This window comes from Homo sapiens, chromosome 1 (genome assembly GCF_000001405.40).
Source record: "Homo sapiens chromosome 1, GRCh38.p14 Primary Assembly".
NCBI classification, from domain to species: Eukaryota; Metazoa; Chordata; class Mammalia; order Primates; family Hominidae; genus Homo; species Homo sapiens.
The window spans coordinates 74,705,486-74,718,020 of record NC_000001.11 but is presented as its reverse complement, the minus strand read 5'-3'; the positions used below and the strand labels follow the sequence as shown (position 1 = coordinate 74,718,020).

Here is a 12,535-nt window from a genome sequence, read left to right as displayed (position 1 = left end):
GTTCAGTAGCCTATTGGATAAAAAAGTGGGAAGCTTGAAGACTGGAGATACAAATTTGGGGATAGCAGCATGTAGGTAAGAATTGACAAGGTGAAAAGTGGTTGAAATTCCTCAGAGAGTGAGAACACTGGAGTGAGAATAGAGCCCTTGTGAACATCACCATTTAAGAATGTAGTCAGAGAAAAAGGATAGAGTTGTAAGAGACCGAAAGGATTCCATGACCGGCAGAATCTAGAGGTCATGGTATTCCTTAAGCATCCAGTGAATGCATGGACTTTGAAGACAGAACAGCCTGGGTCAATGTCTTCACATAGTACTAGTTGTGTGACCTTGGTTAAGTTACTTAAACATCTCAAGGGCAGTTTACTGATTTGAGAAACATAGATAATGACAGCACCTACCTGCTAGGGTGTGGTAAGAATTACTTGGAGGTAATGTGTATAAAGTTCTTAGTACGGGGCTGGCACAGGGTAAGTGCGCAATCACTGCTGGCAGCCTTAGGAGTGGCAATTGATATTGATACTAAGGAGGGAGGCCAGCTGTCAAATGCAACAGAGGTCTGTTCAGAAAAAAATGACAGTTGGGCCCAGCAATTAAGAGGTCATTGGTGACATTAGTCAGTTCCTTTTCAATAGAATGGTGGGAAGAGCTTGACTGAGTGGATTGAGGAAGGAAGAGGAAATCAATTCCTTGAATGGAAACTATTCTTTTAAAAATGGGGGAGACAAGGAAGAGAGAGTAGAAGGTTACTTGAGGAGAGTATGTGGAAAAAAGGGATTTTTTTTTTTAAGGATAGACAAGACTTGAACATATTTACAGATGGAATAAGATCTGCATAAGGCAAGATGGAAAGGACTTAGGACATAGGTAGAGAGATTGGCTTCCAGTATGGAAAGCACAGCTCATCTGTAAAACCTAGAAAGGGTAAAGATGATATAATTATGGAAACATTTATGGATAGGGAGATGGAGTGTTGAAGGTACTTGTGTGTGATTGCGTCACTTTTCACAATTAAGTAGGAGGCAAAAAGTGATATTTTAAGAATCAGAGCTGAAGTGGCACCAAAATGCATGGTCATGTGATTTTTTTCTGTAATACTTAGCCATTTGGATGGAGTATCAAGGAAGCTAGATTTGAACATTAATCCAGGGCTAGAATGCTGGTGGCAAAATTGAATGGTGCAAAAGAAATGAGAGCACAGGGGCTGCGGGGAGAGGAGGCTGGGCAATCTATGGAGTCCAGGCTGAGTAGGGACGGAAGGAAGGCCTGGAGCAGCAAGTGGGCAGAAATGGAGCTATTGAGAGTCAGTAATCTCTGCATAGTTGAAGAAAGATTTTGAGAGAATATGGGTTTTCAGAATTAGGATAAATTACTGTCATAATATTGGTTATTGGCATCTGATATTTCTCAGGGAGAATGGTTGCTGGTAGTTAAGCCCTGGGAGAGAGTGGCTATAAGTGGAGGAAAATTCAGGAACTGTGATGCTTGATTTTCTTTCTGGGGAATGCAGTGTCTCCTTGATTGGAGCTGGATTTGGGGTGGGAGAGAAAGCCTATGTGCCAGGTCTTAGTCTTCAGTGACTAGAAGATGGTAAAGGACAGCAGCATGGAAGGCCAGGCTGAGTGTTATGAGCACCAGGGAAGATGACTGTATTAGTCAGGGTTCTCCAGAGAAACAAACAACGGGATGTGTGTCTGTCTGTCTATCTATCAGTCAATCATCTATCTATTTGATCTTCTATTTGATCTGATCTATCATTTATCTCTATATAAATTCCTTAAGAATCAGTCACTCTGTACACATACACACACACACACACACACGCGCACACAGATTGATTGATTTTAAAGAGTTGACCCATGAAATTGTGGAGGACTGGTGAGTCTAAAATCTGTTGCGGTGGGCCAGCAGATGGGAGACACAAGGAAGAGGTGCAGTTTAAGTCCATAGAAAGTTTGCTGGCTGAATTTACTCTTGCTCATCGGAGGTCAGTCTTTGAAAACAAAAGCCTTCAACTGATTGGATGAGGCCCACCCACATTCTAGAGGGTCATCTGCTTTACTCAAAATCCAGCTATTCCATTGTTAATCTCATTCGAAAAAAAAAAAAAAACACTGTTTCTGTAACAGAGTAATGTTGGAACAAATATTGGGTTCCTTGGCCCAGTCAAGTTGACACATAAAATTAACTGTCACAGCGACTCTGTGCAAGGATTCAGGAGGGGATTTGCCTGCTTTTTCTCCCCTCACCCCAGGCCCCAGGGATTTATGAGAATGTGTCTTTAGTGTTTGAGGGGCATCTTATAAGAATTTTTGAAAAATTTCTTTGGGAGGTATTTCATATCCCATAGTTTAACACTAGTCATCCTATCCCCTTATGTTTATGTTTTACTTTAACATATTGTCCTCAGTCCCTTCAGCTCTAAGCAAGAGTGTGGGAGAAAGCTTCACTTATTGCTCATTGTTGCCACTTCTCAGCTGTTGGTGCATAGCTGGGAGCAGGACTCTGGTTACTGTTCTCTTTCCCAGGTGGAGCATAATGTTCTATAATGTCTCTGCAGTGTGGCCACCCCACATTGTTTGAGGAAGTAAGAGAGCCTTCCTGAGAGTCAGATCTGGATCTCACAGCATCTGCTGGCTTTTGACATTGGCACCGTCCATCTGGAATAGTGAGGCATCCCCTCATGCCTTGCTGCATGTCCCTTCTTTTCAGTACATACTAGAAAAGTAGTCATGTGAACTGGAAGTAAAAAGAAAATGCCATTTCACCAGAGAATCTGGACATTTCAGGGGGATGACATGGGAATCTTTGTGATAGAATTTATTGCATTTCCTACTCTCTGACCTTTGCTAACTCAGCATTCCTCCCTGAAAGAGTACAAGGCTGGTGCAACCTGATGTTCAGAGACATGGAGAAGAAAAATTTCTTTCTTTCCTTGGGCAAAAAAAATAGCTACTGTGTTTACTTGGACATTACTCTAGACCACAGAATAAAGACTGAGCTATATAATAAACCTGCTTTGAGGCCCTTTCTGTGGGGGATATATGGGAATGAGAGATTCCAGATCCTCCAGGCTCAGCAATTTTACTTCACAACCCACAAGGACTGTAGCCACTCAGAAGTAGCACCACATAGTCATCCCAGTGTCCAGCAGCATAGTGCCTGGAACATAAAGACTCCCAATAAATATTTGTTCAAGGAATAAATGAATTGAAGGCTTTGTTTATTCTGTGGAGCTTAGGGAATATTTGGGGCTGTATGTCAGGTTGCATTTGCTGTTTGTGTAAGTGTTAGCCAGACTAGGGGTAGAAATTCCTTAAGATGATGAAAACACCCGAGATTAATTAGCTTCAAAAAATAAGGTGATGTAACTTATGCTTTCCTTTGCAGTGCCTGTGTGAAAGCTGGAGAGAGTGTTCTGGTTCATGGGGCAAGTGGAGGAGTAAGTATTTTTTTTAATGTATTTTGAAACAAGCTTGGGTTTATGGGTTTCACATTATAGTTCCTTTGGTCATTTTTAAAAGTCAGATTTATAAATAGAGTCAAAGGTGCTTTTTTTCTTTATGTAGTAAAACTTTTGATTTTGGTCTTCTGAAGGTGATGTTTTGTCATTAGTTTAGCATTTCTTGGTTAATAAACTCAACAGAGCACCCCTTCAAAAATATGTTAGATTTTCCACCTGTATTGGGTGTAGACTAAGATAAACTGGCCTTGTTTTTGCCTTCAAGTAGCATATGTTATAAAAATATTTATTTAGAATTTTAAACAGTTCTTTAAGGTTGATATTAATTCCATATTCCCTTAGATAAGGAAACTAAGGCTCATTAAAGCTTACCTATGTTGCCCCAGACAGCACGGTAAAGCCACACTGTGAATTCTTAGTCCTTCTATCTCCCTTCTGCTGCTTGCCTGCTGCACTTTGATGACATCCATGGAGTGCACGTATACAGCCCTGTCCTTAACACCACAACCCATGGCTGAAAATGCTAATGTGGGGGAATGGGGGAGGAGGACTCAGAACTTAAAATAAGCCCTTCAATGAAATCACCCAATGCAGGGCTGTCAGAAACCTCTTCGAGAAACTAGCTGCCAATCTGCCTCTCAGGAGCTTAGAGGGAAAAGTTAGAGCTCTGCAGTTAGAATTTAACAAGAAATCCACATGAACTCTGTCACTGGATGCTTTGGAAATTTTGGAGATAAGATTTTGCATTTTAAAAATAAAAGGCCTGGGGCTAGATGCTTACTTTGAGGAGGCTGTTAACCATTTCAGAGCACTGTGTATTCTGGAGAGTGGATTGAAAGAAGTAACCTATTAAATGGCACATAGTCCCCTGAATAATGAGTGGTATCCTGAAAATGTGAATTTACCTTTAAAAGTGCCCAGGTAATTTCAGTCCTTTTTGTCTCTCTGTTTCTTTAGGTAGATGAATCACGAGGTTTCACACCTAGCTTCCTACACTTCAAATAGATCAATTCTAAAGGATTTCACAGATCAAACAATTTATGAAAAAACACTAGGATTGTCTTTATGGGGCTTGAGACAATATGACAGATATACCTTGTCCAAAACTCCCACTGTTTAACTTCACTGAAGAGGCTATTTTTGGGTTAAATTAAATTTAACCCTAAGTAACTAAAGGGTCTGTCAAACACATACATTTATTTAAATTACCCTGGCTTTCAGAGAGCTAACTTAGTGCTCTGTGCAGAAGGGAAAGATTTCAGTAGGAAGGGGAGAGAAGAGTTTAAAGAAAATCTCTTTATATTCCCTTTACCCTCTTGTAAAAAGCCCAGTTGCTTCACCATGATTTTTTTTTAAGGTAAAATCCACACTGTTCTCTGAGCTGGCTGAGTTTGTTAAATCCTCAGCTGGCAGGGATAGGCTGGTGACCTGGTGTGTGAAGTGCTTCTGATCCTCCCTGTCCTATCAGAGGGAAACAGTACTGGGTTTTGCCTTGCTTCTGTTTGTACTTTCTGTCCTCATTTAATTCGAATTCCTTTGGGATTATGTTGTGTGTTTAAAATGGTGTGGAATTTATGAACACAGCTATTATCCAGATATGTTGGTGAGGAGTGCCCTATTTTAGTGTTAGCAAAATAAGTAGAAGAAAAATAGTTGACACATAATGGTGCATAATCTGTTGAAGGATCATTGCTGGTATAATTGTTGACAAGAATAGAATAAACAGTGCCTTTTTAAAAGAGCTATTGAGTGCCCTTTTAAAGCAGTTAGAACACAAGGAGATGTAGTTACGTTAGCTTTTTAAAGTGTGGTTTTATTAGAGGTCTTTTATTTAAATTTGAAAATTAAAATAGAAAATTAATTGTGCCCACCCCATAGTGGGTTGTGTTTTATCTAATTGGATGTCTCTCTCCTCCATCAGACAGTGAGTTTCATGTATTTGTTTGTTTCAGTTAAACAAATTCCTGCCATAACCTGGCTGAGTCCAGCCTCGTTATTCCCATGTGCCATACAATCTTTAAGGTCCACTTCAGGCCTGGAAGTCTGTTACAGCTTTAATCTGTTTCTATCATTATTTTTCATCTTAATTCTTTTCTTGCCGAACCCGGTCCTCCCTGTAAATCACTGGTTATGAGTAGCGGGTGATTTTGCATCATTTCTCCTTCCGCTCTGGGACATTTGGCAATGTCTGAAGACATATTTGGTTGTCACAACTTGGGGAAGGGGTTCTGGCATCTAGAGAGTAGATATCCTTCAATACATGGGATAGTCTCCCACAGCAAATAATTATCTGGCCCAAAATGTTGATAGTGCCAAGTTTGGGAAACTCTGCTCTAAATGTATGTGACACTTATTTGTACCATCATTTGTCATCTAATCAGATATATTTCCTAGTATTGTTATTTAAGTAATTGCTCTTTTGTCTATATTCTTAAATTACTTTGATTTCTCTTTTATACTAAGCACATTTATCTGGTATTCTAGTGATTTCTTACAATCCCAGCATTTTGGGAGGCTGGGATTTTGCCAGGTTGCCCAGGCTGGTATCGAATTCCTGACCCCAGGTGATCCACTCACCTCAGCCTCCCAAAGTGCTGGGATTACAGGCATGAGCCACCATGTTCCACCTAATCCTTTGGCTTTAAATACCATCCGTAAGATAATGAATCTCTAATATATATCTCCAGTTGAACCCTTTTGAGTCCATACTCATATTCAACTGATTGCTGAACATCTTCGCCCGTAAGTAGATGAGCACTGTGCAGCTCAGCATGTTACAAGTGATTCTTTTATTTTTATTTTTTAGAGACAGGGTCTTGCTCCGTTGCCCAGACTGGAGTGCAGTGGCATGATCACTGCAATCCCAAACTCCTCAAATTCCTGGGCCCAAGCGATCCTCCTGCCTCAGCCTCCCACATAGCTGGGATTACAGGCATGCGCCACCACACTTGGCAAAGTGAAATCTGGAGATTTTCACAAACTTAGTGTTCTCCAGTCTTCTCACTCTACCCAGTTAATCTGGCCAAAGACATAGGAGACAGCCTGTATTTTTCTCTTTTCCTCATCTCCCGCATTCAATCTGTGAGGAAGTCCCATTAGCTTACCTCTAAACTATATCTGAATTTGTTTATTTTTTCCAGTGCCACCACCTTTGTTCAAGCCAGCTTCATCTCTTATCTAGACTGTTCTAACAGCTACAAACTGATCTTCCTCCTCCCATTTTCCTCACCGCTTTCTTTGTGCCTCACATGTAATTGGAGCAACCTTTTTAAAGCCTGAGTCAACCAGATCATTTCCTGGCTTAAGCTCTCCCGTGGTTCTGCACAGGTTTTAATATACTCGGAAGCCTCTACCCTCACCCCTCAGATTCTGTGTGACTTGGCCTTTCTGGCCTCATCTTCGACCCTTTCGTACACGCCCCTCCCTGAGACACACTGCCCCTCTTTCTGTTCTTTGACCCCAACTGCATTCCCACCTCGCCAGGTTAGCCATGGCCATTCACTATGCCCACAGCATCCTCCACGTGGCTGACCGGATGTTCTCGTGGCTTGTTCCTCACTTTTTTCAGGTCTCATTTTTTCAGAGTGGCTCTTCCTGATGACCTAAATAGCCCCTATTCCTGTCTCTTTAACCCAACAGCCAGTCTTATTTTTTCTTAGCACTTTTATTTCCTGAATTTATTTTATTCATTCATATGACTATTATCTTCCTCCACCCTTAGAATATAAGTTTATTTCTTACATTAAGTACCATGTCTAGCACATCGTAAACACTCTATAAACATTCACCATATGGATGAATTAGTTAATTTGCCCATATACCTATCTCTTCTACTTAAATGGTGGAGGCCTTACATTTGTTATTTAGAATTTCATATGCACAAAGAAGTCAGAGAGCATGTTCTGATCATCTTTAAACCCTGCAAACATCTTGATGCAGTGGTTAAAAACTCAAGTTCTGCAGTCAGACTGGTCTAACTCCTGTTTCCATCTCCGCATATGACTTGGCCAAATTACTTATAATTTGAAGCTTCAACTTTCTTATCTGTACAATAGGGACAATAATAGTATCTACTTTATAGGGTCATTGTGAGGATAGAATAAAACAATATGTAGAAATTATTTAGTATGGTTCCTGGAATATTTTAAATGCTCAATTAAAGTTAGCTGTTTTTCTTATTTCTTCATTTACACTCTTAAGTTCCTTAAAGTTAGGGTGGGTCCTATAGGAATCTTAAGTTCATTGTATGTATTTAAGTGTTTACAGGAGTGTAGAGAATATATAACTCTTGGGTTATATTTGTTTTTCAGGTTGGATTAGCAGCATGCCAAATTGCTAGAGCTTATGGCTTAAAGATTTTGGGCACTGCTGGTACTGAGGAAGGACAAAAGATTGTTTTGCAAAATGGAGCCCATGAAGTGTTCAATCACAGAGAAGTGAATTACATTGATAAAATTAAGGTAAAATTTTCCACTGTTTTACAAAAGTCAAACTTTGTTCCTTGGAGACTTGCGTGGTTTTTTAATATGTTTTTAACCAACTACTCCTTTAAAGCTGTTTGCTTCCTTTTTTCAGTGCGATGAATTTTTATGCGTGTTTTAAAACTTTATTTAAAAAACAGATGTCTAAGTTTTAAACTTTTACTATCATTTTTGTATTGTTTATGTGTATTAAATAGAATATAGCTTCTCTAGAATCTTATAGCTATAAAAATTGATTTTTTAATGCAAATAACATTCTAAGTAAAGCTGCAGCTTTGTATTTGCAGCTGTGAGGTATTCTTAATATAATTTCTACTGATGTGAATTCTCCATGGAAGGTGAGATATCTGTAAATTACAAACTGGATCTGTGTGGCCCAGGGAATAAAGTTCATTTGTTAGCTGGATGCTTTGGAGGAATAATCACTACTGCATCCAAAATGGTGAGGTGGCATTTATTTAGTTGCTGCATTTAACAGAATTCAAGCAGATTCTGAAGTTCTTCACTTGTACTATATTAGCAATTTGCTAAACACTTATTGCTTTGCTAATCCTCAACCACTTCCTCACGTTAGGGAGATTAGAATTTCCCAAATATTGAGTACTGTGTAAATTAGATCATTACAAATGAAGGAAAAAATAAGAGTGAGAGTTTATTACCTTTTTTGCAATCATCTTGCCAAAAAGCCGAACAAAAGCACTCCTTTGTTATACGTCTGGGGAACCTAAGATCTAGCACTGCTGATACCATTATCCAAGAATATTCACAAAGATGAAAAATGGCCCGTTATTTTAAGAGTATGGTTTTTGTTCAGCAATAATCTAATTTTAAGACCATGAGGTCTTGGGAGCTTCCACTGACTCCTTCTGCTTAAGTCTCTCCCATTCTCAAAAACATTCTCTTAACCTTTATCTTACTCCCCTTTCTCTTCTCCTCTTTCCCACAAAACTTCTTGAAAAAGTAGTATTTATTGCTTTTACTTCCTTACCTTCCACCACTTCTCACTGCAGTTTTGCTTATAGCCCAAGTATTTATACTGCTTCCCAGAGGTCACTGAGAAGCTCCTAATTAACAGTCTGCTGGTCTTCTTTCAGTCTTCATCTTGTTTGATTTTTCAGGAGCATATGACCCTGACCACATTTCTTTGAAACAGGTTCTCTTCTTACTTTCCTGACTTTTCACTTTCAATCTCCGCCCTCTTCATATTATTTAATATTAATATTCCTTAGGTTGTTTTTGCTTGGTCTCTCATCTTCCCTGGTGCTAGACTTTCATCCTGATCAGTCTCATATACTCTTGTGGCTCCCTTACTACCCATATACTGTTGATTTCCAAAACTGTCTTTGGCCTGAGTTCACTTCCTTCATGCCATCAACCCGCTAGACATTGCTACTCATCTGGTCGCCCAAGACAGAAACCCTCATTTTGTTTGTTTTTCCTGTCTTTTAATTATCATTCTCCCTCCCACCCAGCAAGTTGGTTACCTCATTTTATCAGTTTCATCTCTGACATGCCTTTCAAATGTATTTCCTTATCTCTATTCCACTGACCACCATAACTTAGTTTAGGCCTCAGTTTCTCCAGCCTTGACTGTTATTCATAACTGAGCTAATACACCCTTTTATCTATGCTGTCATCTCCCTCTTAAAAAAGATCTCCAGAAATAAATAAAATGGAAGCTTTATGAGGAGAGGAGTTTTGTCTCTCTGTTCCCTACTGCACTTGCACATGCAGTAATAAACCCCTGTAATAAAAAAACAAAACAAAACAACTACAAAAAAAACCCCACACAATCCAAATCCTTTAATATGGCATTCACTGTGTTTTCACTATCTGTCCCAACTTACAGTCTCCTCTCTCCTACCTCTTCCTCTCCTTGCCACTCCCCCTTACCTGATTATGTACTTCAGTTCCTCTTGTATTTCAATCCTTGTGTTCTCAGTCCCCTCCATCTTTGCTTTTCTGTTTCTTTGGTCCAGACTGACTCAGCCTCAGGTCTAGCTTCCCCTTACTCATTTTCCTTTCTTTTGGCTTGGGAAACTCCTATTCATCCCTGAGGGCCCAGTTCATCGTCTCTGTGGAACTTTATCTGACCATGGCAGGCAATCAAACCTTAACCTTTTTTCTCTGTATTCTATGATTTATTTCTGCTAATGTGTTACTTAGCCCATTACTTTATAGCTATGACTGTAGTATTTCCCATCTTTCTCACTAGTTTTGTTTTGAGCTCCCTATGTTTGTATTTGTATTCCTGGTACCTAGTGCAATCCCGGGCACAGGGATTCATTTGTGTGTGTGTGTTAAAATAAAATGAATATAATGTAGATGTGTGTAGCTTTTTGTAAGAGCCAGCGTCCAACATCCAAGAGCCCAAAAGAGTTAGTGCATCAAACAGATGATAAACCATTTAGAACAAAACCAAATGCACTAAAACAACAAAAATCATGCAAAACCGAACAGCTAATGATATCTTCTTTTGCTTTTTGTTTATTAATAAAAATGGGAGCCCCCTGGGGGTTTGGGGCTTTTGATTTATTGTTTCTTTATGAAAGTTTATTTTACAGATAGAAAATTTTCAGCTAAGTATTTTATACTCAAGTTGAGTCTAGCACCTGAAAATTCCAGACAAACTTTATTTCACTACAGCAATGTATTTAGTACAAATTTTTATCAGTTTAGATGTTCTGGCTGGTACCTTGGAATTACATCGTGATTATATAATTAGATTATTTAAAATTTTGCATTATTAGTCTCAAAGATGTAGCATTTATATATCATTTGAAACATATTTCTATAATATCTTGTACAGATAGTAGCTATTTTACAGTTTTTCACTTGCTATCTTACTCTACATTTCTCTTTTATTATATAGAAGTATGTTGGTGAGAAAGGAATTGATATAATTATTGAAATGTTAGCTAATGTAAATCTTAGTAAAGACTTGAGTCTTCTGTCACATGGAGGACGAGTGATAGTAAGTATTCCTTTTCTTTTTTTTTTTTTTACCACTTTAATGTTTTACCACAATTTAACACTATTTTACAGTAATCTTTAACTGTAGAATTGCTGTTTTTCATGTTAGGTTGTTGGCAGCAGAGGTACTATTGAAATAAACCCACGAGACACCATGGCAAAGGAGTCGAGTATAATTGGAGTTACTCTCTTTTCCTCAACCAAGGTAGGAAAAGAAGTACTTCTGATTTTGGTAACTTAAACATTGGTACAGTTTGCCTACTCAGGCAAGCTGAAAGTTTGAATAGATGTTAAACTTAGTTATATGACTAGTGGGAGTTGGTAAGGATTAGTCACCAGAAGGACAACTAGGGTGACAGTATAATTTATATCCAGGTAAGCATACCTTTTGAGATAGAAATGTGATACTAGTAATAATTTCAGGACAACAGGTATTTTGTACACTAACACTGTCTCAGGCAGATGGGATTTATGGTTACCCTGTAGATAACTACTTTTTCTATAGTTCTGGACAAGTTGACAAAAGTCACACATTTGTAAGAGACTCTTCATGGTATAACACTTAGATTCTGAAGTGTTTTTAATGCTTCTGAAAATTAAATCATACGGTTCACTACAAAAAGAAATTTGTTTTTCCTTTTCTTAGGAGGAATTTCAGCAATATGCAGCAGCCCTTCAAGCTGGAATGGAAATTGGCTGGTTGAAACCTGTGATAGGTTCTCAATATCCATTGGAGAAGGTGGCCGAGGCTCATGAAAATATCATTCATGGTAGTGGGGCTACTGGAAAAATGATTCTTCTCTTATGATGATTAATTCTTTCATGGATTTCCTATGTAATTAGAGGTACTGTCTTTCCCCCAGTTGTACTTACCCTATCTTTTCTTTAATTAACATTCGATTCCATGAGCTTCTTATGTGAAAAAATAAGATTTTTCTTTAGAGAGCAGAAGCAGAAGAGTAAAATTTATTGTATAGCTAGCAATATTTTTTTATGCCATCTGTCTCAAATCAAAGAGTCATCATAGTAGGAAATAACATGTTAGTTGTCATTTGGCATGAGTGTGCATTCCAGTAATTCTTAATTGATATTTGATTAATTCCATACCTTTGATTAAAACATGCTAGTTCAAAATAAGACTGCTCAGTTTCCAAGGGTTTTCAAGCCTACTTACCTTTATAAAGGTTCTCTAGTCTCTGATTAGCCATGACTGTATTGGACTTTGAACATTTTCTGAACTAAAAACCTCTATTCTAAACTAATCTCATTTGGATGTGTAAGTCTTTTGTAAAGGCAAGAATAAATAATATCCAGGACAATTTATTAGTTTTCTCAGTATTTTCCCAAATATTAGAATATTTACTTCATTATTGGTTGGCTGCCAATGACCCCATATGTTCTGTGAGAATAGTAGCTTTATCTTTGATATAATACATAGTCTCCAAATAGGTAATACTTCGCAATTGATTAGATTTTCAGAGTAGATTTAGAGTTATCTGTTTTTCTGGTGAGGGTCAAATATTTTTGTTAATTAAGCTCACAAATTTGATAAATTAAGAATTATCTGCATTTGTCTCGTAACATAATAATGTGTAATAAAGTCTATAGAAAATTAAAA

General features: G+C 38.2%; 1 protein-coding gene across 7 annotated transcripts in view; it reads left to right on the top strand.

Annotated features, from left to right (window-relative positions):
* The window catches only part of CRYZ (crystallin zeta), a 27,565-nt gene extending 15,030 nt beyond the window's left edge, over window positions 1-12,535 (top strand). For 4 of the 7 annotated variants that reach the window (NM_001134759.2, NM_001889.4, NM_001130042.2 and 1 more), the window contains 5 exons: window positions 3,391-3,442; window positions 7,774-7,923; window positions 10,817-10,918; window positions 11,027-11,122; window positions 11,564-12,535. In NM_001134759.2, coding sequence (NP_001128231.1) covers window positions 3,391-3,442; window positions 7,774-7,923; window positions 10,817-10,918; window positions 11,027-11,122; window positions 11,564-11,725 — 562 coding nt within the window. In that variant the 3' untranslated portion in view covers window positions 11,726-12,535. The remainder of the gene's footprint in view (window positions 1-3,390; window positions 3,443-7,773; window positions 7,924-10,816; window positions 10,919-11,026; window positions 11,123-11,563) is intronic. The other 3 variants (NM_001130043.2, XM_017000367.3, XM_047446751.1) reach the window with 1 other exon arrangement.